We start from the raw sequence: 27,741 nt of genomic DNA, 5'->3' as shown, positions 1-27,741 counted from the left end.
TAAAAGGTGATATCTTATCAATAGTATTTAATGTTTTGAAGAAATAGACCAGTGTACAAAGGGATAGGGAATTCATTTCTGTTAATGTATTTATTAGTTCTTACTAGGAGAAGAAATGTAACTATTCTCTTCAAAACCGTTAAAAATCAAGCACTGAGGCAGCCACACCATCGTTTGCTCCCTATGTTCCGATATCCTTAAGATGAGCTCAAAGAAAAATTAAATCTTGATTCAGGGTAAAAGTTTCTGCTAATCCAGTTCTTTTATCATAACCATGAAAAAAATCACTGAAAATTACTTTATACAAGTTATGCAGCTCAGAATTTTTCTTGATATTTGATCATTTTGAAATATGACTAAGCTTCTGCTAGAGCCTCTAAACCAATCTCTTGACTTCATCTTCTCTTTCATTCTGCAACCAAACCTGATTAATCTTCTCAAAGTACAACTCCAGTCATATTGCTTCCCAGGTTAAAAGGTGTCATTAATGCCTCAATATGAAAGGAAGTCTCTACCCAGAATCTACCTAGAAATCAAAGTCCTTTGTAATTTAGAACCACCTTTGAGAGGATGGTATTTTATAATTGAAGCAAAATACAACGCATATGTTTTCTCTTTTTCCAAATAGATCTGTGTTTTTGCTGCTCCATAACTCTGTTCACTGCAAGTGTCTTCCTGTGGAAATCCTAGCTGCACTTAAACAGCACTTGATTTCAATTGCACATTTCTTGTTGAAAATACTGTTGATTTGGAGTTAACAGGAAACTCAAACTCTTTCAGGCACATAAGGAGCCCAGGTCACCGATCTGAGAAAAATGAAACAACGTCACTAACTATGAAATTAGACATTTAAAATTGACCTATATGAATGTTTATGTTCATTGAGGTGGTCATAATTATGCATATGGTAAACATTAATACAGTCTAACTACCTCTGTGATTTGATTACTTCTACTAGTTTCCCTAGGGGGAGTTTGCTTAGTGGTGGTTTTCCTCCCCTTTCCTCTACACTCTGGATCACTCATCTTAGTTGGTATTTACTTCCAGTGCATCCTCTGGGCTTGCTGGTGTTCAGGATCATGGAAAAGCCAGAAGTGACTGTGTATGAACTGATGGCAAGATGTGGTCTTTGCATCAGGAAGCAGGTAAACGAGGTACTATTGACTACTAAAGCAGTGCTCCAAGTACTGTGATTCTCTCAGGGTAACCTCAGCCTTCTAACAGTGGCAACTTGGAAGTACTAGACATTTTATCAGCTTTGTGCTCTCTGACAACAGAGTCTCTAGTTTCCCCAGAAACTTTTCTCTTACCTTTCTTCATATTTCATTGATGTCAATTATTTCATTATTATTTTGCTAATAGGCTGTGGATTTTTAAATGAAAACATTATGTAAGTAACAACAACAACAAAATCAGTTACTACAAAAGAGATCCAGAAATAAGTAAAGTGTGAAGAATAATCACATAATCCTATCACTCAGACAAAAATACACATTACCGATATGGTGTATATTCCTTAGACTTAAATTTTGTACATATTTACAAGAAAATATATATGTAAAATATATATATTTTTTACATTGAAACAAGAAAAAAGAAAAATATACATATATGTATATTCTATCGTACACATTTTTACTTAGCATTTTCTTTTTCACACAGAATGTATACAGTAGATATTTTATGTGTCAGTGCATTTAGATCTAAATTGTCATATAATGGCTGTATTGCATTTGAGTAGCTGACTGAACCGTATGCATTTAACTAATCACTTTTAGTTTGACACTGAGGTAATGTCCACATTTTTCCTTATTTCCAGCCACACTGTGATAAACAGTTTTGGTTACTTTTGTGATTATTGTGCCTCAGGTTTTGACCATAAATTAGAAATAATACTGTGTTATGTTCAAAATATTACTTCTCTACTTAATATATCAAATTGTTGCCTCAAAAATCTTAATTTCAAGTGTTCTGTGAAAACTAGAGTACTTATAATTTTTTTAAAAACAGATTGTCACCACCCATGGGGAATCAAATCCAGTAGCTGTAGGGTAAGGCCCAGCTATGCCAGCTATGCATTTCTTTTCTTTTCTTTCTTTCTTTCTCTTTCTTTCTTTCTTTCTTTCTTTCTTTCTTTCTTTCTTTCTTTCTTTCTTTCTTTCTTTCTTTCTTTCCTCTCTCTCTTTCCTTCCTTCTTTCCTTCCTTCCTTCCTTCTTTCTTTCTTTTTCTTTCTTCTTCTTTCTTTTTCTTTTTTTCTTTTTTTTGTTTTGACAGAGTCCAACTCTGTGCGGGCATTACAGGCGTGAGCCACCACCCCCAGCCTGCATTTCTAAAAGCTATACAAGATGATCCTGACATGCAACCAAAGAACTGGTATTAACAGGTTACCCACATATTTTTTGTCATTGCAGAAAAGACAAGACTCTAAGTATTATGAATGCAAAATCTTATATGAGTAAGTAAAATTTGACCCACTGAATTGTATAACCTTAAACTGAGTCTATTACATATAAAATGAAGTGCGGAACTCAAGTAATAAGTTCACACTTTTTAGTAAAAATACCTTTACTACTCTTAGCTAAATAGTCCAAGAAAACACCCACATTGCCCAAGCAAACCTTCATATATAACTCATTTTAATGTATAAAATGATTAACATTTATGTATTAATATTGTATATATTGTTCTTCCAGATTGAAAGTTACTCTAAAAATAAAATGACATTAAAAAATCACTTTATTGTGGGAAGGGAACATTGACAATTTTCAAATGGTTTTTTAATGTCTGGTCATATTTCCTGATCATGTTATTTACATTTAAGGCACAAAGTGTTCAGTGCTTGAATCTATCTTTCCAGGAATCACAGAGTTTATTTATGCTTTTATGCTACAAAAGAAGGAGTATAAATTAAGGTTGCAGACAAATACTTAAGGTTTGGGCTAAGCAGTTGCACTTAGTCTATAAGTAACAGACATCAATAAAGGTGGATAAATTGGGGAAGAATCATAATGATTTGAATCTACATGATAGACAGTTTGGAGTTAATTAAAATAAGACACATGAGAGAATTGAAAAGTAGGATGTTGATCTTATTTTGACCAAAATAAGCTAGGAATATTCATAAGGCAACTAGAAATGTCGTTTTTTGTGTGTTTGAATTGCTTTTTCCAAAATTTGAACATTCAAATTTATACATTTGAGAAAAGAAATAATATGCTCAAGAGAAAGAATAGAATATAGCAGAAGGCCTGATGGCCGATTTTGAGAGACAGTCTAACTGTGGCATGAGATGACATCACAGTTTGTGTTTCCTGCTCATTTCATGTTGCACAGATTATTAAAGAGATTCTTACTGTGGATTTGAGAAAGGAAATGTACAAGGGCTACATGGAAGCCATCAAAAGCTACTGTGGTATGTAAAAAAAAATAGCAAATTACCCAAAGAAATTGGAAATTTATGTACACATAAAAATGGGTACACAGCTATTGATAGCTGCATTTTTTTCAGTGGCCCAAACTTGGAAGCAACCAAAATATCCATCAGTATGTAAATAGATAAACAAACTGGGGTCTATCCAGACAATGGAATATCATTCAGCACTAGAAACAAATGAGCTATCACGCTGTGATGGTTAATTTTCAGTGTCAACTTGACTGGATAAAGTTAATCTAGACAGCTGGTAAAGCACTATTTCTGGGTGTGTCTGTGAGGATGTTTCTGGAGAAAATTGGCATGTGAGTCCTTGAACAGAGTGGGGAAGAGCCTCCCTCAATGTGGGTGGGCACCGTCCACTTTACTGGGGACTCAGATAGAATAAAATGATAGAGGGAAGGCAATTTCACTCTTTCATTTTTGGAGCCAGAGCACCCTTCTTTTCCTGGCCCTGGACCCCAGAACTCCAGCCTTCCCTGGCCTTTGGACTCCAAGACTTGCACCAGCAGCCCCCACGTTCTCAGGCCTTCTGCCTCAGACTGAGAGTCACACTCTCATCCTCCCTGGTTCGGAGGCTTTTAGACTTGGACTGAGCCACACTGTTGACATTCCTGGTTGTCCCACTTGCAGGTGGCCTATCATGCCACTTCTCAGCCTCCATACTCACATGAGCCAATTCCCCAAATAAATCCCCTGTTTTCTATCTATTCATTTATCCATCCGTCTGTCAACCTTCTATCTATCTATCTATCTATCTATCTATCTATCTATCTATCTCTAGAGATAGGAATCTAGGAATTCTGTCTGTAGAAATCCCTCACTAATACACATGCTGTGAAAATACATAGAGGAAACTTAAATGTATATTACCGCGTGAAAGAAGCCTATCTGAAAAGTCTACACACTGCATGATTCCAACTATGTGACATTCTAGAAAAGCCAAAACTATGCAGACAGTGAAAAGATTTGTGGTGGACAGGGGTTAGAGGGGAGAAAGATGGACAGGCAGAGCACAGTGGATTTTTAGGACAGTGAAACCACTCTGTATACTATAATGTGATCTACGTCATTACACATTCGTCCAAACCCACAGAATGTAAAACATCAAGAGTGAAGCCTCATGTAAACTATGTATTTTGGGTGATAATGATGTGTCCATGTAGGTTTATTGATTATAACAAATGCACCACTGCTGTGTGGAATGTTGATAGCAGCGGAGGCTGCACATGGGTGGGGACAGAGGGTTATGGGAACTCTGTACTTTCTGCTCAAATTTGCCGCAAACCTAAACAAAGAATTGTATATTAATTTTTTAAAAATGTATAGCAGAAAACTTGAAGATATTCACTCTGACTAAAGGGAGAGAATTTAAGCACGAACAAAAAAGGTTGAAAGGATTACATATATCTAAAATTCATGAGTTGATAAAGATTTTTTTTTTTTTTAAAAGAAACACCTCCTTGTTTTCAATCAGAGTTTGCTAAGGTGCCCATATACGATTTGGAAAATTGGCAAGATTTGCATTCATCCTGCCATACATCTCTGAGTTTTCTTTTAGGTTAACTTTCTAATTTTTGGAAAAGACTCCATAAGGGATGATAAAATTAGAAAAATACTGTATTGCGATCTGTAATGTAATAATGAATTTAGACAACATTCGATGGATCAGTGGATGATGTAAGCATTAGGTGAAGAGTTGATGGGGAATGTTATGAGAAAAGTTCAGACTGCACGTTACCCAGTGATATCAGCATCACCAAAAGAGACCACAGATGCATAAGTGCCTCAAAATGTGATGAAATGGAGAGTGTGAGGCATGGCCTCTAAAATTTATCATGTACAGACGTAATTGAACTGTTAGCTAATTAATTTTCTAGGTCTAACTACTTTTGCAACATCTGGAAGAAATAGAGGAACAAGTTAACTCATATAAGGAAGAAGCAATAAACTAAATGCGGAAAGTTGGACATTCTTTAGGGCTGGTTTTGATGATTAAAGAAGAAAAAAAATGGAGAGTAAAATAGATGTAGAAGACATAACAACCAAAATTAATACTTGTGCTTATTTAAATGCTGAATTAAACAAATATGGTATAAGAAGAATATTTTGTTTGATTCAATTGGAAACTTTCAGATATGAAGCAGATATTAAATACTATTCAAATAATACTAAGTGATTAAGGTCAAAATTGTTAGGTTAATTCCATATTGTTATGTAAAATTTTAATATGATTTTCATTTAGGACAACATACTGGTTTCAGTGGAGAGGTGGTATGATATCTGGAATTTGCTTTAAAATCCTGCAGCAAAAATTAATTAAAATATATAAATAAGTAAATACAATAAAAACAAGTGGGGTGATTAGAAAAGATTGAAAGCATGTTCACAATGATTAAAGCTTGTTTCTAGATTTGTGGGAGTTCACTATAATATTCTCTCTACTTTCTTTGTTTCAAAATTTCCATAATAAACAATTAGAAAAAAGTATTCACGTATCTATTTGTTACCTACATCAATAATTTTCTCTTCCTTATGAGTTTACTCCTTTTAGCTTATAAACAATCTGCCGGCTCCCCCACATAATGAAACAACAGCACTTATCTGCTTCTGTAAAAACAAAAAAGTGCTTTAAAACAGGTAGGTGTCTGTATTTGCTTTCTCCTATTTTCTATTCCCCATTGTCTCTCAAACCCACTACGGTCAGGAGGATTTTCCACCACTTCACTGAAGCCATGCTTGTCAGTTTTACCGAAAACTCTCATATGGGACATTTCCCAGTTCACTCTACAATTCTTAGGTCTTACGCCAATGAACAGCAGTATTTGACCCAGTAGAATGTCGTTTCTTCCTCAATATACTTTCATCTCTCGGTTTCCTTTATACTGTGCTGCTTTGGTTTTCCTCGTACCTCACTGATCACTTTTGCCTTTGTTGCTGAGCTCTCCTATGGATGCTGACCTTGGGGAGCCTAGCAATGGCTTTAAATGTCATGTCCATGCTGATGATTGCCAAGTACATCTCATCAACTCGCCCCTCTCACGAACGTCTGAAAAGCTTACCTGTACACCTGACATTCCTAACTTCATTCTCATAGATAGACATTTCATTCTTTACATCTCCAGAATTGAGTTTCTGGTCTTTCCTCATAAATCTGCTTCACCGGCCGGGCATGGTGGCTCAGGCACGTAATCCCAGCACTTTGGGCGGCCGAGGCAGGTGGATCACGAGGTCAGGAGGTCAAGACCAGCTTGGCCAAGATGGTGAAACCTCGTCTCTACTAAAACTACAAAAATTAGCCGGGCGTGGTGGCAGGCCCCTGTAATCTCAGCTACTCGGGAGGCTCAGGCAGGAGAATCTCTTAAACCTGGGCGGCAGTGGTTGCAGTGAGCTGAGATCTCTCCACTGCACTCCGGCCTAGGCAACAGAGTGAGATTCCATCTCAAAAAAAAAAAAAAAAAAAAATGCTTCACCTGCAGCCTTTCCTGATTAAATTGATGAAAATTATATCCTTTTAATTACAGTGTCAGATAATTAGAGTTGTTCTTGATTTCTCTCTTTTTCAAACAGTCCACATCCAATCCATCAGGAAACCCTGATGTCTTTCAAAATATATTTAAATATGTCCTCACCTCCCTTTTCCTATTACCACTGTCCTGTGAGCTAAAGATTTTTGGGAAATAGCTTTTAAAGAATCTCCATGGTTCTGCCCTTTCCCTCCTCGCTCCCTCTAGTATACTCTGAATGAAAAAGTTACAGAAATCTGTTTTTAATATAATCTGATTAATATAAAATCTTCATTCAAAAACCTATGGATTTGTTTCATTGAGAGGCAAAGCCCAAGCCCTAGATTGAGATCCGGGTCCTTCTGTCTGTGGGCTTCCCTCCTGTTAAGACTGAACCGTGTAAAAGTGCGTGGTCCCAGCTTGGGGATTTTATATTGACCTTGTTAAAAGAAAATCCTTAGCCAAATTAAATTTAACAGAGATTAATTGAGCAAAGAACACTTCACCAATCCAGCAGCCTCTGGAGCCAGAGTATGCTCAGAGAGACTCCAGTACAGCCATGTGGTGGAAGAGGATTCATGGACAGGAAAAGCAAAAAGTCATATAGAATAACTGGTGACAGCTCAGCTTTTCCCTTGTTGGAACACAGTTTGAACAGATGGTCCCTTTTGATTGGCCAAAGCTCAGTGATTGGCACAACCTCAGTTACCGTCTGCTTACATCTCCATTTAGGTTACGGTTCACTGTGTACAGAGAAACCTTTAGGCTGGACTTAAAATATATAAGGTGGCAGTTTTAGGAGAAAGTTAATTTAACACCCTATAATGCAAAATTATTGATGCAAATTATATACGACACTATCTTTAATATTGAACAATCGAATTACTTTTTTTATTTTTAACACTAAGTTTTACATGAGTTAATCACAAGGTTCAGAAGACTGAATACTTTTCCAAAGTGAGTATACAACTGAGTCAAAATTTTAATCCAGGTCTTTCTCTGACTCTGGGGTGCTTATTCTTACCATTAAAGTACACTGCTTCCAATGCAATGATGGAGAAATTGGATTCCCCATTGTTCATAGACATTTGTAAATATGTAGAAAGATCTCCACTATTTTCATTTTTACTAATATTGCACAGTAAGTTTTATTCACTATTACTAGTAGAAATTATTTCCCAGTGCTAATGTCTTGTCCTAATCACATTTTAGATTTTACAAACTAATACTGAAAATGGTTTTGTCTGAATTCTAATTCTCTGTTCTGAGCATTGATTGGCTTTTGAAAAAAGGTTTCAAATAAACTTAAATAAATTTGAAGCTATTGCTTACTTTATTTTCCACTTCATTTTCTTTCCAGTGTAAATATATATATATAGTTCTGGAAATTAGTTTTTTTTCTTACAAATCTTCAATCAAAGGTTTAGTGTGTTCAGGGGATCCACTAGCATGCCACAGGATCATAAATTTACTTCTAGGGTAGTGTTCTAAGGTCTGCTCAGCTATCATCATCAGCGTGGTAGTTTACTTTTTCCACTGGAAGTAAATGCAGTTTATATAACCTATTCGTGTCACTGACAGTGGCCAAATACTTCAAATTGTGCCATACATTTTACAGTCTCAAAACTCTGTGAGCATAACATGAAATGAACATTTGCTTCTGAAGGTCCCTAGCATGCCCTTATCTGTGTGATAATCCGTGGGTGGCCAACAATACCATGCTAACATATTTCTGAGCAGTGTGCAGCATATACATTTCTTAATAACTCAAGATTGATACTACCTTATTAAAATGTAATGTGGGGTTTTATTCCTGTTAGAGTTAGTTTGAAATCATGCTTATAATCATAGGTAATTTCATTGGCATATGTAAATTTAAAATAAGAATTCAAATGCCTCATAATTAAAAAATCTATCAAATTTGGAAAATTCTGTGTGTGAATTTCTTATATCAAGATAGCAGGCTAAGATAAGGGTAACTTTTCTGTCCTCTGACGTTAATGAAGAAGTTCAGACTTGCTGTTTGAGGCACATGATTAAGGAACATTTGCATATCCTCCAGTGCAATACTCAAGCAGTGTCTCATGCAAGAAACAAACTCCCAATACTCTTGTTTTTGCCCTTAACTTTCCTTTTCTCTGTAAAGTTGAATGGTTTGACTTTCATCTTAACAAATGCAAATATTCTAAGCCAAGGTTCATGTCTCTATGATTCATTGCAATACCAAAAGGAAAACAACATATCTGAGTAATGACACATACAACCACTTAAAATTTGGTGTCTGACCCAAAAATCAATTCCGGATTAATGAGTGACAAGAGTCAGATAAAACTATGTTCCTTATTTGCTCAGGCTTAATTTGATTTTCCCAAGCTCAGTTCATGTAATGATAAATTATTGACTAACTCCGAGGGCCCTGCTAACAGAAGTTGTATTGCCGTGAAACCTACTTCACGTGGTTCTCACGGGGCACTTTTCTGGGTGTATACACACAAATGGAATTTATTCTTCTACCTGCCTCAAGGATGAATCGTTATTTGAGTGCTTGGTGCTCTTAAGAATTATGCAGCCCTTATTTCTGGCCAGGATCTTGATGAAACATTTTGCTTCTTGGTTTCAGTTTGTGCAGTTCACCACTTATTCTACCACAGAATCTACCTCAGTCCTTCCACGCTTCATGTTCATTCACTGTGGACCTGAAGGAAACACACTTGCTCTTTTATTAGTGCATGGAGACATAATGAGATAATTTTTTAAAAAACAATAAAATACCCTTGGACAGGTTTCCCAAGAAATTTTCAATCACCCCATAAACAAAGAGACTTTGACAATAATTCTACCTATTGGCTTTATATCTGATGTTATTTTCTAGATTGCTACATAGAGGTGGATTAAGGATTATGTGTCTAACAGTGATTTATAAGTTGAACCTAACACATCATTCTTAAAATTCAACTAATGTCATCCCTCAGAAGTTGCAATAAAATGTCCTTTGCATTTGATATTATTTTGATACTTGATTTTGGTACTCCAGAAGTACTAGTATGGCACAAATACTATTCCGGTGTAATATTATAGCATGAATTCTACTTTAAACTATTTTTTGATATTTGTTATTGTAAAATATTTAAATGTTAAGTAACAGTAAAAAATTATGATTACTTTTAATCTTATTCATAAATCACTATTATGAATGAGCAGGTGGATAGTGCCCTGGATTTTTATATCCATTTACAGACACATATTTGGTTATAAAATATAAGAACATGCTCTCTGAATTATCTCAAAGTTTTTTTTAAAAAGTACATTGCATATACATTTTCCCATCTGTATATGGAAATGTATTTCATTCTTTAAATAACTGCAGACTATGACCTATTACGTGCAGGTATTCATTTATACATGTATACAAATTACTTTATGTAACAAGACATTTTAGATTGTTTCCAATTTAAAAATATTATTGTAAATAATGCTGTAAAGAACATTCTCCTGCTTAATTTTTGTCTGTTTCTACATGATAATTTCCTAGAAGTAAAATTTCTAGGTCAGAGGATATAAAAAAAGTGTATATATTAATATTATTAGTGATCTATTTTATGCTAAAATTGTTGAGCCCATTTATAATCTCAGCTGTAATATATTTTTCAAAATCCTGCTTTCAATAAGCTTACTATGACTATAATTCTTTTTGTTGTTGTTGTTAGGGTATCTCATATTGCTCTGATTCTCATTTACTGGATTAATTCCACATTGTTTAGAAGATATTTTGCATAATCGCAGTCCTTTGAAATTTGTTGAAACTTTGGCTTATCATCTTGGTAATTTCGGAAAATGTTCCATTAACACTTTTAATGAATGTGTATTCTGAAATTATTGGTACTACAATACTTCTTATTCTTGAGTCAAGTTTATAAGTATTATTATCAAGAATAAGAATACTTCTTATCCTTGAGTCAAGTTTATTCATTGGTATCATGTCTCCTTTGATTTAATATATCCTTTCATTTGAGAACTGAGTCAAAATTGCCAACTATGGTCCCCAAATACCTTTTGGAATTGATAGTTTTTTTTTGGTTTTAAATATTTCAAGTAAATATTTATAATTATGTATGTATGTATGTATTTATTTATTTATTTATTTTTTGAGACAGAGTCTCACTCTGTGGCCCAGGCTGGAGTGCAGTGGTGCGATCTCAGCTTACTGCAACCTCTGCCTCCCGGGTTGAAGCAATTCTTCTGCCTCAGCCTCCCAAGTAGCTGGGACTACAGGCGTGCACCACCATGCCAGGCTAATTTTTGTATTTTTAGTAGAGACAGGGTTGCACCATATTGGCCAGGCTGGTCTTGAACACCTGACCTCATGATCCGCCTGTGTCAGCTTCTCAAAATGCTGGGATTACAGGCATGAGCCACTGTACCTGGCCAATACTTATAATTATTTTACTGGAAGATTGACCGTGTTTTAGTTGTACAATGTCTTCATAACTCCAGTATTTTTCATTTTTACCTTCAACTCTACTTTTTCTGATAAAATATATCAGGTATTTTAACCATATTTCAGCTAATGTTTGCATAGTATTTCTTATTCCAGTCATAACTTTCATCTTTTTTGTACGCTGATTATTAAAATGTATACAATTCACATATCACAGGTTTTAAAATTCAATCTGACAATCTGTTTTTTAATTGAAGTATTTTATCTATTTATAGTTAATGTAATGACAAATACAGTGTGTTTAGATCTATCATCTAGTATTTCTTTTCAATGCTCTTTAACTTTCACTTTCATTCTTTTTTTTCTTTCAGACATTTTATTTTGAATAAATAAAGAAAAAGCCAATTTTCTTTACTTTTTATTATCCTTTAGTTATATATTTATAAGGCCGCGGTCATGGTTAGTAGTTTTTTGTTTTTTTTTTTTCATGAAGGTATGGTATCTTTATTTCATTGTTTTTGGATTTTTTTACATAGATTTGTTGACCCTGCTTTAGTTTGTGGCCCTTTGTGACTCTGGGGCTTGATACTGTTCAGATGTTTTAGAAACTTATTGATCATGATCAGATAGTGTTTCTGATCTATTCTCTCCTCGTTGCTCTTCTTGGATTCCAAATTTACGCTATGTTCCATCTATCTCTTCTGCTGTCTTTTATATTTTCCTACTACTCTACTTTTCATAATTTACTCATGTCTAGGCACTGAACATCCTTTTTTTTCCTCCCATGCATTTTGAGCCCAGTGAAAACTCTAATTAGCTTCTTAGACTCAGCTGCTGCTTTCTGTTAGGCTTCTCAGCCTCTAGGCTCCAAGAAATTTGCAGATACACTGAGGGAAATGTGGCACCAAATATTGGGCTTCCATGGCTGTACTTGCCAACTTTGGCATCTTCACTCTCAAGGTTGTCTGCCCTGGGAGCCAAGAATTGTAATTTTTGTCTCTGCAGTGCTGTGCAACTCCCGATAGCCCTCATCAGCTTTTGTCCTGGTAGCTGCTACCTTTTTCTCTTACCTATTTCTCAATCAAATAAAGAAAATTAATGTAAGAATTCTGAGTCATAGCTCCTTGTATCACATCAACAGTGATTACAATTTTTAGCTCATGAAGAAAATTACCATGATTGCTCTCCTACAAATAATTCATTATTCACTTATTTTTCAGGACACTTACAGGAGATCTATATTTGGCTAAAATTTTGCTAATTTTTCTACTTTATAAAAAAGATTGTCAACTTGAAAAATATCAGTTCTTGGAATATCTTCAAAATTTGTCAAGTTCAATTGATTTTTTGAAGTGTTTCATTTATCCTGGAATCTTATATTATTTCAGGTACAATAGATTATACTTTACGGTTGAAAACATTTTTTTTTATTTTGTATTACTCCATATAGCGTTCTGCCTGCCACAGAACAGTTATTTCTTCATAATTGATTTCTTTTCTTTTTTTTTTTTTTTTTTTGAGATGGAGTCTCGCTGTCGCCCAGGCTGGAGTGCGGTGGCGCGATCTCGGCTCACTGCAGGCTCCGCCTCCCAGGTTCACGCCATTCTCCTGCCTCAGCCTCCCGCGTAGCTGGGACTACAGGCGCCCGCCACCACGCCTGGCTAATTTTTTGTATTTTTTTTTTAGTAGAGACGGGGTTTCACCGTGTTAGCCAGGATGGTCTCGATCTCCTGACCTTGTGATCCGCCTGCCTTGGCCTCCGAAAGTGCTGGGATTACAGGCATGAGCCACCGCGCCCGGCCCATAATTGATTTCTTTAGAGCCATCATCATATTCTTACATTAACGTACTGGTAAGGGAAATTTTTCCACTTCTCAAAAAGATTTTAATCAGTTGTTATTTTCAGTTAAAAATAAACATAACTTTTATAAAGATTAAGAAAATAGCATAAATCACTGGCACATAGAGAAACTTTCATATAACTATAAATATTAAAATATGCCCTATATTGAATCTTGTTGTGCTTGTTCAGTCATATTCTAAGTAACAGTATTAACTTAAGAAGAGGGATTCCATGTTTTCTGGGCCAGTTTTGCACAATTTGTGCCTCAAAGTTTGCCTGCATGGAAATGCCAGCTAATTTTTTCACTGCAAAGTTTTCATAATCTGCTATTTGGATGAAAACTAACAGCATATATCACCTTATTTTAAAATACAAAATGTCGCATTGATAAAACATCCTGTTCTAGTTTCTATTGCCACTTAACACACCATCCTGAATTTAGGAGCTTAAAACTGTGGTGAATGTATTCTTACGATTTTGTGGGTTAGAAATTGAGGAAGGTCTTGGCAATTTCCTTGCTCTAGTCTGGTGTTAAATGGTTTTCTGCTGATAGCAGGGGGGCAGGGCCACATTGTTCAAGATGATTCCACCGACAGGCTTGCTACCTCTACCTCGGTGGGAAAAGGTAACCCTGATTGCTATCTCTCTCCCTCCATGTGGCTTCTGGGCTGCTTCATGAGGGTTCTCTAATAGAGCAGTCATATTCTCTACATGACATTTCTAGGCTTGAGAGCAGCATGGGAACTGCCACTCTTCGAAAAGGCTATCCAGAAACGGTGTACCACTCTTTCCATTTTACCTTAGTATCAGAGAAGTCACAGGCAAGACCAAATTCAAGGAGAACAGAAATAGATCCCACTTTTTAATGGGAGGATTGTTAAATAAATTATATGTATTTGTTTAATACAATGCTGTATAAATCAGCATTATTACTAATACTATTAATGCTAACAAATATATCCACTGCATTTTCTCATGATTTTTAAACCTTTTCTCTAAATGCATACCAACAGGAAGGCTATTGAATTATTACTATGTTGAGCCCAAAGCCATTTTTTTGGAAATTATAATAATTTCTTCCTGATTGTTATGAGCATTTTTATATTATCAGTAATTCAAACGTGACCCACCTGTTTTTTCTAAGTGCTTCCTATGGTTTGATTATTTGAGATATTATAATTTGTTTCCTGAATTTATTTTTCATATTTCACACCAAGAAGGCATTCCATAGACATTTCTTTTTTTTTTTTTTTTTTTTTTTTTTGAGACAAAGTCTCGCTCTGGCCCAGGCTGGAGTGCAGTGGTGTGATCTCGGCTCACTGCAAGCTCCGTCTCCCAGGTTCATGCTATTCTCCTGCCTCAGCCTCCCAAGTAGCTGGGACTATAGGCACCCACTACCATGCCCGGCTAATTGTTTTGTATTTTTAAAAGAGATGGGGTTTCACCATGTTAGCCAGGATGGTCTCGATCTCCTGACCTCGTGATCGCCCACCTCGGCCTCCCAAAGTGCTGGGCCATAGACATTTTAGCAAATAGCATTTATCCCATCATTCTTCTTGAGATTTTGTGTCTTGTTTGGTTTGGTTCTATAGATTTACAGAAAAGATGATAATATGGGATTATGTGATATTTGTGTAATACTATTAAATCAAAGAACTGATAAGCCAGTGACCAGAATGAGTTAAATTGTTGCCTAATAAACTTCACTTACATGAGGGAGTAGTTAATAAATGGAATAATTCTGAAGACCTATAAAATTAGTTGGGAGAACTAGATACATATGCAGATTGGACTAAGGCTAAATTTATAATGAATGTTCCCTGGAAAAGCAGATAGACATTGGAGTTAGGTATATATTTAGAAATGAAAATATTCCTATGGTATTTTTATGTGATTAAAAAATACAGAGCTTCAACTGGAAATCTTCTATTTTATAATAATTTGCCAGATTATAGAAAACAACTATCAGAAGTAAAACATGTATAATATCTACAGGGATAATTAATTTCTTAAGAATATATTTCAAAGCCACATCACTGTAATATTGATGCAAAGCAGAATTCTTGGGGAAAAAAACCATCAAATATTTGCATCTTTATCACATCATCACTTTGATCACTGAATCACTGTCAGCTGATATATCTAGCTAATGATGGAACTTCTGTGGAGGTCCTCCAATTTAGAGATTTTTCTGAGAAAGGGGAACAGGAGATTCTAAATTCTTAATAAGGTCAATCCAATTATTAACATGAAAAAGAATGACTGTTCAACCTAATCAGGAAGCATATTCTAGTATTATAAAAGTTTCTTAGAGCATACACACACACACACACACACACACACACACACACACACACACATATGTAGCCCCATTAGTAAGCTTCTAATAAAAGAGTGAAAAAATAGTAGAGCTAATTTAATGGGGAAAACCAAATGAAGAATGTAAGATCATGTACCCTTAACAGATGTCCTAATTAGATGTCATTAAGGAGACTATTCGGTGAATTAAAATTGAGCCTTTCACTTACTACCAAAAATATATCTATATCGTTTAATTTAAAATGGAGCTGTTATATAGGCTGAAATACCCACCTGTGAAATAGGAAAGTAGGTCTGAATTGTCTGGAATCGGTCTGTCATGCTCATTACAGTTCTAGGTCACTAAGGGGACATTGGATATCTAACACTACTAACTGAAATTTTTAAATGGAGAATAAGGCAAACTAGTTTTCACAAAGGTTCATGAAGATTTATAAATAGTTCACAAGGTCTTTGAGGATGTTTTAAAATTTGTTCTTTGATACAAAATAAAGTATTACATTATACAGATTTTTTTTTTCATTTTTAATGGTAACTTCCTGTGGAAACACATTTTGAAAGAATAATAATTTAGTTTTTCAGGCCAACATTTCTCAAACTAGGAAGTAAGCCATAAACCCGTTAAGCCCTCTGGGATATTGGAGGCATGTATTTTTCTTTTTAACAAAGATTTTTATAATATTCAAGCGTGACATACAAAGCAGCGATTAATGCATTTTTCCCCCTGCTGCTTAGTTAGTGCTATACAGAGAAACACGTGATGAACATCGGAATGGTATTAGTGTTCCTAATAATATTTACCTATATTTACTAATAAATTTCTTGTAATTAGATACAAGAATGACAAAATATAGTAGCAAAACTCGAAACCTTAGCCGGGCACGGAGGCGCATTCCTGTAGTCCCAGCTACTTGAGACCTGAGGTGGGAAGATTGCTTGAGCCAGTAGATGCGTTACTATGTTGCTGAGGCAGGCCAGCCTGTGCAATATAGCAGTAGATCTCTTAAAACAAGACAAAAAATACTTCCTAATCTTGTAAATGTGTTTATAGAATTCCCTTTTGTGTTCAGTCCACCTGTTCTTGTCCGTTTGGCTAATGTCCAATTGACTTTTGTTAAATTCTCTAAGGGAAGGCTCCCCATTTAACCAATCAGAATAGGTGAGGCCCAGGCATCCTTCCATTCCATACCTCCAACCTGGTGCCTCACCTAGGATCCAATGATGCTTCTGGGGGATTACACAAAAGGAGTCAAATTGGGGAAGATTTTAGGATAAAGTTGTATTGCTATAAAGCAGTAATAAACTCTACAAGTGTGAGAACATAAAAAGCAGAGAGATCTGAGAAAGAATGAATCTCCTTAATCCTGAAGGTATAAATATTTTATTTATATAATCCCTAAATCTCCTAATACATCGCATTCAATATGTGTTTAAAAGAGTAGATTCCTGTGCTGATTAACAAACATACCTATGGTTGACTGATGAGCCATTGAACTTAGAGGTCCGCTTTACATCATGTGTGATTATGATACCCCTTCTAACGTACAGAAAGTTCTTTCTCCGGGAATCAGTTTGTCAATATATGTAACCAATTATTAAATGGAGCAGGACTCCAAGCACTAGCAGGGCACCTCTCTTTATTTTTCTATAATCACATTCTTTAAACTTGCTCTTTCCAAGTGTCCTTCACTACCATTTAACAGCATCTGGGTGTAACTAAAACTTTCTTTTTAATTTCAGGACTCATTATCTTTCAGAACGACTTTCTTACCTCCTCTTCACAAACTTTCTCCCCTTCTCCCAGCTCAGATCTGGCTCTGCTGGTATTGCTGGCTCTCACTTTCCTTCTTGCTCTTCAGTTTCTCCTTGAACAACAAATCTTCAAGGTCTCTAGGGAAGAAGGAACAGACTTCACATAAAAGACAAAATAAGTTTTTATTTGATAGGTGTAAAATGTATTTTTCTTAGTTAACAACCACAAGGAATAGTTCAGAAGTCAATATTTCTGGGTCCCTCAGGAGCCAAAGCACTTGATTTTAATGCAGTTGAATTTATGTTAATGTCCTTTCATACAGATTGCAATTTTTTTTTTACTTAAGAAATCCTATCTAAGGTTGTAATGATATGTTTCCACATTGCTTTTGAAAATGTGTTTTGCAATGGATTTTTAATATACATTAATAGGCATTAATTTTGACACTGGTTCGATTTTTTTTTTTCCATGTGGATTCTGAATTGACCCAATAACACTCATTTTATAGGCCGTATTTTTCTACTCACTTGAAATCCAAGCCTTGTCATTAATCAAAGCTTAATTTGTGCTTTGTTCCTTTTGGACTCTTTATTTTTCCATCCATTTGACTATTCCTGTTCTAATACTCCATTATCTTAATTCTTAAACAATGACACGTTAATTCTTGATAGAGATTCAGAAAAATCACCTCATCTTGTTTTATTCTTAGTCATTTGCATTTCTACATACATTTAAAAATATTCCTGTCAATTTGTATGCAATCACACACACATTTCACACTTGTGTGCATGTATTTTCACAAGATTTTTTATGGGAATTGCATTGGATCTATACATCAATTTGATTAGAAGTCATATTTTTAGAGAAAGGGAAAGAGGTGTGTGTCTAATATATATACAGAGAGAGATTATGTAAGTAGTAGGCTCACTGAATTTGGGAGACTGATAAATTCAAAATCTGCAGGCCAGGCAGCAGGCTGGATGCGTGCTCAAGGAAGAGTGGATGTCACAGCTGGAGTCCAAAGGCCCTCTAATTGTCAGGTTTCCCTCTTCCTAGGGGAGGTCTGTCTCTTTCTTAAGCCTTCAACTGATGGCATGAATCTCACCCATGTTATGGAGGGTACTATACTTTTCTCATATTCTACTTATGTGTTAATTTCATCTAAAAATACCTGCCCAGCAACATGTAGACCTGTTTCAACAAGTATCTGTGTACTATGGGCTAAACAAGTTTACACATAAATTAACTATCCTGTATAATATGGTTTGGCTCTGGGTCCCTACCTAAATCTAACCTTGAATTGTAGTAATTTTCATGTGTCCTGAGAGGGACCCAGTGGGAGGTAACTGAATCACGGGGGCGGGTCTTTCCCATGTTGCTCTCCGTTAGTGAATAAGTCTCACGAGATCTGATGATTTTATAAATCATCAGATTTATAAAAGCTCTCTCTTGCCTGCCACCATACAAGACGTGACTTTGCTCCTCCTTTGCCTTCTGCCATGATTGTCAGGCTTCCCCAGCCATGTGGAATTGTGAGTCTATTGAACTGCTTTCCTTTATAAATTGTATTACGTGACTTTGCTCCTCAGGTATGTCTTTATTAGCAGTGTGAGAACAGACAAATACACAGTATATGGTTATATATAGTTTTATATGGATATAGTTGTATAACTGTTAAACCTTATAATTACATACAGCTGAATATTGTATTTCACACACACCTACCTGTAAAACTACATACGTTTTTTTAAAACAAGATTTTTATTTTGCTCTACCTTCTTCATGAGTTCTAATAACCTATCAGTCAACTTGTTTTTTATATGAACAAGCATGTTATCTATAAAGATGTTTGATTTATTACTTTTCAATCATTTAATTACACAGTTATAAGAGATATAATTGACTTATTCCTGATCTTTAACAAATAAGATTTCAATTTTACCACTAATTTATGACATTTGTTATGGATTTTTTGTGATAACCTATTTTAGTCTAAGGGATCTTTCTTCTAAATTTAGTTTATATGTTATTTTAAATAATTTATTCCAAGTTATATTAAATCCTTTTCAGCACCTACTGAGGTAATCTCTATTATAATTTGATAATATCTTGAATTAGTGAATTTGTTCTAATAATATACAATCTTGCATTCTTGATAGGAAACTAATTAGTTTTAATATATTACCAATTTATTATACATTGCTGGATTCATCTTACTAACTTATGTTTAAGATACTTTTCATGTGCGTCCATGTGAAGAGGCCACCAAACAGGCTTTGTGTGAGCAACATGGCTGTTTATTTCACCTGGGGGCAGGCCGGATGAGTCCGAAAAGAGTCAGCGAAGGGAGATAGGGGTGGGGCCGTTTTATAGGATTTGGGAAGTTAATGGAAAATTACAGTCAAAGGGGGTTGTTCTCTGGTGGGCAGGGGCGGGGGTCACAAGGTGCTCAGTGGGGGAGCTTCTGAGCCAGGAGAAGGAAATTCACAGGGTTAATCACTCAGTTAAGGTGGGGCAGGAACAAATCACAATAGTGGAATGTCATCAGTTAAGGCGGGGCAGGGCCTTTTCACTTCTTTTGTGATTCTTCAGTTACTTCAGGCCATCTGGGCATAAACATGCAAGTCACAGGGGATGCGATGGCTTGGCTTGGGCTCAGAGGCCTGACATTCCTGCCTTCTTATATTAATAAGAAAAATAAAACAAAATAGTGTTGAAGTATTAGGGTGGCGAAAATTTTTGGGGGTGGTATGGAGAGAGAATGGGTGATGTTTCTCAGGGCTGCTTCAAGCAGGATTAGGGGCAGTGTGGGAACCTAGAGTGGGAGAGATTAAGCTGAAGGGAGGTCTTGTGGTAAGGGGTGGTATTGTGGGGTTGTTAGAAGAAACATTTGTCATATAGAATGATTGGTGATGGCCTGGATACGGTTTTGTATGAATTGAAAAACTAAATGGAATAAGAGAAGGAGAAAAACAGGTATAAAAGGTCCTTAGACCTAAGACATCTGATTAGAGAGTGCCTAAGGAGATTCAGCATAGTCCTGCCAGCCAAGATTATTTATTTACTTCAAGAGTTAAGTGTGGCAGTTTGGGGATAGCACCAGGAGATATCAGCTGTGATGGCTTGGAGAAACAGTGTAAACAGGCAGTGTAAACAAGAGCAGGGCATGTATGAGTAGTTGAGAACGGTGAATAGGAGTATGACTAGACAGAAGATAGTAGGGATGACAAGTTTTTTTGGGGGGCACAGTCTAAGTTGGTCTGGTGTCTGGAATGAGACTGGGGCCTAATAAAAAGGAGCGTCTATACAGGAGCTCAAATGGGCTGTACCCTATAGCATTCCGAGGACAGGCCTGAATTCTGAGAAGGGAAAGTGGTAAAAATATTGTCCAGTCCTTTTTAAGTTGGTGGCTGAGCTTGGTGAGGTGTGTTTTTAAAAGACCTTTAGTCCATTCTACTTTTCTTGAAGACGGAGGACCCTAAGGGATATAAAAGTTTCACTGAATGCTAAGAGCCTGAAAAACTGCTTGGCTGATTTGACTAATAAAGGCTGGTCTGTTATCAGACTGTATAGAGGTGGGAAGGCTAAACTGAGGAATTATGTCTGACAGAAGGGAAGAAATGACTGTGGTGGCCTTCTCAGACCCTGTAGGAAAGGCCTTTACTTATTCAGTGAAAGTGTCTATTTAGACTAAGAGGTATTTTAGTTTCCTGACTCGGGACATGTTGAGTAAAGCTAATTTGCCAGTCCTGGGTGGGGGCAAATCCTCGAGCTTGATGTGTAGGGAAGGGAGGGGGCCTGAATAATCCCTGAGGAGTAGTAGAATAGCAGATGGAACACTGAGAAGTTATTTCCTTGAGGATAGATTTCCACGATGGAAAGGAAATGAGAGGTTCTGAGAGGCGGGCTAGTGGCTTGTACTATAGCATAGCCTGCCTTTGCTGGTGTGTGGCGATTAGGCCTGGTGGAACTGCCATCAATAAATCAAGTGTGATCAGGGTGAGGAACAGGAAAGAAGGAAATATGGGGAAATGGGGTGAATATCAGGAGGATCAGAGAGATACAGTCATGAGGGTCAGGTGTGGTATCAGGAATAATGTGGGAGGCCAGATTGAAGTCCGGGCCAGGAACAATGGTAATTGTGGGACTTAAAGAGTGAGTACAGCTGAAGGAGCCGGAGAGCAGAAAGTATATGCGTCAGGTATGAGGAAGAAAATAGATTTTGGAAGTTATGAGAAATGTAGAGAGTGAGTTGAGCATAGTTTGTGATTTTTAGGGCCTCTAACAGTGTTAAAGCAGCGGCAGCCACTGCACACAGACATGAGGGCTAGGCTAAAACAGTAAGGTCAAGTTGTTTGGACAGAAAGGCTACAGGGTGTGGTCCTGGCTCTTGTATAAGAATTCTGACCATGCTAACCATGCCTAGGAAGGAAAGGAGTTGTTGTTTTGTAGAAGGTGCTGGGGTTTGAGAGATCAGTCAGACACGATTGGCAGGGAGAGCACGTGTGCTTTTATGAGAATTATGCTGAATTAGGTAACAGATGAGGAAGAAATTTGGGCTTGATTGAAGTAATGGGGGCTGTCTGTGAAGCTTTGCAGCAGTACAGCCTAGGTAATTTGCTGAGCTTGATGGGTGTCAGGGTCAGTCCAAGTGAAAGTGAAGAGAGGCTGGGATGAAGGGTGCAAAGAAATAGTAAAGAAAGCATGTTTGAGATCTAGAACAGAATAATGGGTTATAGAGGCAGGTATTGAGGATAGGAGAGTATATGGGTTTGGCACTATGGGGTGGATAGGCAAAACAATTTGGTTGATAAGGCGCAGATCCTGAACTAACTTGTAAGGCTTGTCTGGTTTTAGGACAGGTAAAATGGAGAAATTGTAAGGAGAGTTTATAGGCTTTGAAAGGCCATGCTGTAGCAGGCGAGTGATAACAGGCTTTAATCTTTTTAAAGCGTGCTGCAGGATGGGATATTGGCATTGAGTGGGGTAAGGGTGATTAGGTTTTAATGAGATGGTAAGGGGTGCATGATCCGTCGCCAAGGAGGGAGTAGAGGTATCTTATACTTGTGGGTTAAGGTGGGGGGATACAAGAGGAGGACGCAAAGGAGGCTTTGGATTGGGAAGAAGGGCGGCAATGAGATATAGCTGTAGTTCAGGAATAGTCAGGGAAGCAGATAATTTAGTTAAAGTGTTTCAGCCTAATAAAGGAACTGGGCAGGTGGGGATAACTAAAAAGGAGTGCTTAAAAGAGTGTTGTCTAAGTTGGCACCACAGTTGGGGAGTTTTAAGAGGTTTAGAAGCCTGGCCGTCAATACCCACAACAGTTATGGAGGCAAGGGAAACAGGCCCTTGAAAAGAAGGTAATGTGGAGTGGGTAGCCTCCGTATTGATTAAGAAGGGGACGGGCTTACCTTCCACTGTGAGAGTTACCGAAGCTCGGCGTCCGTGATGGTCTAGGGGGCTTCCGAGGCGATCGGGCAGTGTCAGTCTTCAGCCGCTAAGCCGAGAAGATCTGGGAAGGAGTCAGTCAGAGAGCCTTGGGCCAGAGTTCCAGGGGCTCTGGCAGTGGCTGCCAGGAGAGTTGAACAGTCCGATTTTCAGTGGGGTCCCACACAGATGGGACGCGGCTTAGGAGGAATCCCGGGCTGCGGGCATTCCTTGGCCCAGTGGCCAGATTTCCGGCACGTGTAGCAAGCTCCTGTGGGAGGAGGTTCTGGAGGAACACCTGGCCGCTGCGGTTCAGGCGTTTGGAAGTTCTTGTGTGCTGGAGATGTGGCTGGGGTTTGTCTCACAGTGGAGGCAAGGAATTGCAACTTTTTTCTGTTATTGTACACCTTGAAGGTGAAGTTAATTAAGTCCTGTTGTGGGGTTTGAGGGCCAGATTCCAATTTTTGGAGTTTTATTTAATGTCGGGAGCAGATTGGGTAATAAAATGTATATTGAGAATAAGACGGCCTTTTGACCTTTTAGGGTCTAGGGCTGTAAAGCGTCTCAGGGTGGCTGCCAAACGAGCCTTGAACGGGGCTGGATTTTTATATTTGATGAAAAAGCCTAAACGCTATCTGATTTGGGATAAAGAAAAAGGAGCATTAACCTTGACTATGCCTTTGGCTTTTTAAGAGTAAATTGCTGGGCAGGTGGGGGAGGGCTAGTCACGGAACGAAACTGTAAGCCGGACCAGGTGTGAGGAGGGGAGGTGATAAAAAGATTATAGGGTGGAGGAGCAGAGGCTGAGAAAGAATTGGGACCTAGCTCGGCCTGGCGAGGAGCAGCCTGGGGAGGAAGGGAGAGGTCAGATGGGTCTGTAGAAAAGGAAGATTAGAAAGACTCAGTGACGCTTGGGGTTGGTACTGAGGGGACAGGCGGGAGGGAGAGAAGGAAGATTTGGGACGAGTTGCACTGGGCACAGAGACTAGGAAGGGACTGATGTGTAAAAGAATGCCTGGACGTCAGGCACCTCAGACCGTTTGCCTATTTTATGACAAGAATTATTTAGATCTTGCAGGATGGAAAAATTCAAAGTGCCATTTTCTGGCTATTTGGAACTACTGTTGAGTTTGTATTGGGGTCAAGCGGCATTGCAGAAGAAAATAAGGCATTTAGGTTTTAGGTCAGGTGTGAGTTGAAGAGGTTTTAAGTTCTTAAGAATATAGGCTAAGGGAGAAGGAGGAGGAATGGAAGGTGGAAGCTTGCCCATAGTGAAGGAGGCAAGCCCAGACAAGAGTAGAGACACGGAGAAGGGGTAGGGGGTCCTTGCCCTCCAGAAAAGCAGAGAAGGGGTTGGGGCACGGAAATAAGGGATTGGGGCACAGAGATAAGAGGTCATGGTGCGGAAATAAGGGATTGGGGCACAGAGATAAGAGGTTGGGGTGCGGAAATAAGCGATTGGGGGGGTTCTTGCCCCCTAGGAAAGCGGGACTTGGCTGCTAAGGGTGAAGGAGAAGGGGTTGAGGGGTACTTGCCCCTGCCCCAGGAAAGCGGAACTTGTGGCTAAGGGTGAAGGAGAAGGGGTTGGGGTACTTGCCCCTGCCCCAGGAAACCAGAGAAGGGGTAGAGACAAGGAGAGAAGGGGTTGAGGTACTTGCCCCTTCCCCAGAAAAGCGGGACTTGCCGCTAAGAGTGAAGGACCAAGGCAGGTGTCCCTGCGTGGTCTGACACCCTTGAAATGTGGGTATATAATCAGAGAGTCATCCCTGCAATGATTAAACACCAAGGGAAGGCTGCCTTCCCAGTCCGTGACCGGCGCCGGAGTTTTGGGTCCATGGATAAAACGTGTCTCCTTTGTCTCTCCCAGAAAATGAAAGGAATTGAAATTAAGAGAAGGGAGAGATTGAAGAGTGGAAAGGAGAAAGTGGTTGAGGGACAGTGAGAGAGGTTGGAGAAGAGAGTAAGAAGAGGCCGCTTACCTGATTTAAAATTGGTGAGATGTTCCTTGGGCTGGTCGGTCTGAGGACCTGAGGTCATAGGTGGATCTTTCTCACAGGGCAAAGAAAAGGAGTACAGGGGATTGATCTCCTAAGGGAGGTTCCCCGATCCGAGTCACGGCACCAAATTTCATCCGTGTCCCTGTGAAGAGACCACCAAACAGGCTTTGTGTGAGCAACATGGCTGTTTATTTCACCTGGGTGCAGGCGGGCTGAGTCCGAAAAGAGAGTCAGCGAAGGGAGATGGGGTGGGGCCGTTTTATAGGATTTGGGAAGTTAATGGAAAATTACAGTCAAAGGAGGTTGTTCTCTGGTGGGCAGGGGTGGGGGTCACAAGGTGCTCAGTGGGGGAGCTTCTGAGCCAGGAGAAGGAAATTCACAGGGTTAATCACTCAGTTAAGGTGGGGCAGGAACAAATCACAATGGTGGAATGTCATCAGTTAAGGCGGGGCAGGGCCTTTTCACTTCTTTTGTGATTCTTCAGTTACTTCAGGACATCTGGGCGTATACATGCAAGTCACAGGGGATGCGATGGCTTGGCTTGGGCTCAGAGGCCTGACAATATTTACATTTATATTCATGAGTGGTAGAGCCTAATTTAAAATGTCATACTATTTCTTAAGTTTTTCCATTAAGAATTTAAGTAACATAAAAATTGTTGAGAAGCAACATTTCTCTTTTTCTATTCTCTTGAAGTATATGGATTTGGAAGTAAAATTGACCCTTAAACAACGTGAAGTTTAGGGGAGCTCTGACCTCTTCTACAGTTGAAAATCCCTGTGTAAGCTTTGAATTCCTAAACACTTAATGACTAATAGCCAACTGTTGACTGGAAGCCTTACCAATAACATAAACAGTTAACACGTATGTTGTATGTTATGTGTATTATATACTGTATTCTTTCAATAAAGTAAGCTAGAGAAAAGAAAATGTCATTAAGAAAATATAAGCAAAATAAAATATATATGTTTACTATTTATTAAGTAGAAGTGGATTATTATGAAGGTCTTCATCCTTATTGTCCTCATGTTGAGTAGACTGAGAAGGAGGAAGAGGAAGGATTGGTCTTTCTATCTCATGAGTGCCAGAGGCAGAAGAAAATCTGCGCAAAAGTGGACTTACACAGTTCAGACCTGTGTTGTTCAAGGGTCAAATGTATTTGCTTACAGAAAATCTGAAAGAATTTGCCTTTATACCTGTTGCATGTTTTGCATGTTTGAGGTTTGGAGAAGTAGAATAAATTTAATTAGTGGCTGTAGGAGTATTCAGGCTTTTCATTTCTGTTTTCCCCCAACTTCTTATATTGAACAATTGAGAACTTAAATGTGAGTTGGATGAGCAGGAAAATGTACAATTGCCTTCACCTAGATTCTTCAACTGTAGGCATTTAAAAATATATTTCCATTGTGTATGTGCTTTCTGAACCATTTGAAAATAAATTGTAGACATTGTGACATTACATTCCTAAAACTTCAGCAAGTATCAACTAAAAATGACATTTTCCAATATAACCACAATAACATTATCAACACTAAATGTTTAACCTTGATTTAGCAATACTATTACACTGCTCATATTTTTTCACAATTGGAAATATCTTTAAACGTTATATTTTTCAAAAATCAAGGATCACACATGACATTTTGTTGTCAAATTTCTTCAATTTTTATCCTGGAACACAAACCTACATTTAAAAAAATGTTTCATTACATTGATATTTTTGAGGTGCCTAGACTAGTACCGACTGCTGCACAATTTGCATCTTTTATAACTGTTTTCTCATGAAAAAAAAAAAACAAAACCAAAGGTTAAAGATATTATTTTTGTGAAAATATTCTTCATATGTAATATGGAGAGCATCTCAATTCGTACCATCTGGAGGGTTTTAATGTCAGTTTGTCCCAGTAAATTGATGATATGTTGATCACTTGGCTAATATGTTGTCCATCAGACATTTACATTGCAAAGTTCCTTTGTAATTATCAGGCTGGTACTTTGTAATGATAAGGTGATACTTTGAGATCCTGTTCCTTAACATACCTTCAACTGATGGTTATTAGCAATCCCTTTCTTTATCAATTACTCCATTAATAGTTGTAAAAGTGATGGTACAATACTCCTTTTTTTTCTTTTTTACATGTAGTTAGGTGAAATTTTTCTGTGTAACACATTCTTTCCTACCTCTTCCCCTCTCTGGACTTCTTATGAGTCAGTGTGAACTCAGACATTTAGAAAGAAATAAATCAGTGTCATCAATATTCTTTCTGATATTCAAGTGTACCCAAATTTGGCCAATGTGAGACTCTCCAAGCTGGTTCCTGTTTTCTGTTGAAACTACACCGTCTGTATGTTTGCACTTTAATTCTTTTTGTCAAAACAAGATGTTGAGACTCACAAACTTTCACTGCCCCCTATATAGATGCAGACATTTTAACAAGAATCCATGTTTCCTTTTAATGAGGAATGGTATTTAAAAAATCAAGATCTGGACACGATCTGGGATCACTGAGCCCAGATTTTTCAGTGCACCAAGATAGGAAACATGTTTTATTTTAAGATATAAGTGCATATTGATATCTCAAATTCAAATCTAATACCACAGTGCACTCTTTTTCTTTTTAAAATTTCATATTGATATCTTTCTACTCCCATAGTTACAACTTGAATTCCCATCAGCAAAAAGTATTTTCTCATTTACTCTGTGCTACATTAGTTTCAGAGATTCAAAAAATAAATTGCAGAATTTCTGCAAAAATACTATTTTAAAAAAACCCATTAGATGAAGTTAAATACTCTTTGCAGTCCTTTATATCTTATAATACATCATGAAAATATGTATCGCAAATTTATTTGACTTCACTAATTTTTTAGTGAAGGTATATTATCAAATTTTTATCTCTACTGATCTTCTATTTTTTATTCAATTTTAGAGTTTCTTTAAAAAATATTTTTGTACTTTCTTTTTTGATTATATAAAACATTTATACAATCCAGAATCAATTATACATGCACATATTTTGGCATTTT

General features: G+C 37.4%; 1 long non-coding RNA gene across 1 annotated transcript, besides 4 other annotated features; it reads right to left on the bottom strand.

The window, feature by feature from the left end:
* On the bottom strand, nucleotides 1-24,949 carry LINC02582 (long intergenic non-protein coding RNA 2582). Its single transcript, NR_038340.1, has 3 exons — nucleotides 24,697-24,949; nucleotides 17,309-17,425; nucleotides 1-806 (listed from the first exon to the last, which is right to left on the bottom strand). It is a non-coding gene; the product is annotated as a long intergenic non-protein coding RNA 2582 (long non-coding RNA).
* Nucleotides 7,204-7,373: an enhancer, noted in NCBI's record as "experimental_49950 CRE fragment used in MPRA reporter constructs". NCBI's record gives its function as "activates a minimal promoter by MPRAs in K562 erythroleukemia cells, with activity observed for the non-introgressed 18:71009837 variant allele {active_cell/tissue: K562}" and the evidence as "EXISTENCE:reporter gene assay evidence [ECO:0000049][PMID:34662402]".
* Nucleotides 21,832-24,842: a mobile genetic element, named in NCBI's record as "chr18 t(4;18)(q35;q18) HERV-H recombination region".
* Nucleotides 23,527-23,625: a non allelic homologous recombination region, noted in NCBI's record as "chr18 18q-82C recombination sub-region, recombines with the chr4 18q-82 recombination sub-region within the chr 4 t(4;18)(q35;q18) HERV-H recombination region, resulting in a translocation". NCBI's record gives the evidence for it as "EXISTENCE:nucleotide sequencing assay evidence [ECO:0000219][PMID:22260357]".
* Nucleotides 23,695-23,755: a non allelic homologous recombination region, noted in NCBI's record as "chr18 18q-146C recombination sub-region, recombines with the chr4 18q-146C recombination sub-region within the chr 4 t(4;18)(q35;q18) HERV-H recombination region, resulting in a translocation". NCBI's record gives the evidence for it as "EXISTENCE:nucleotide sequencing assay evidence [ECO:0000219][PMID:22260357]".
* Nucleotides 24,950-27,741: the final 2,792 nt, after the last annotated feature.

Source organism: Homo sapiens, chromosome 18 (genome assembly GCF_000001405.40).
Source record: "Homo sapiens chromosome 18, GRCh38.p14 Primary Assembly".
Taxonomy (NCBI): domain Eukaryota; kingdom Metazoa; phylum Chordata; class Mammalia; order Primates; family Hominidae; genus Homo; species Homo sapiens.
The sequence above is the reverse complement of the archived record's forward strand: the minus strand, read 5'-3'. Positions and strand labels throughout refer to the sequence as shown.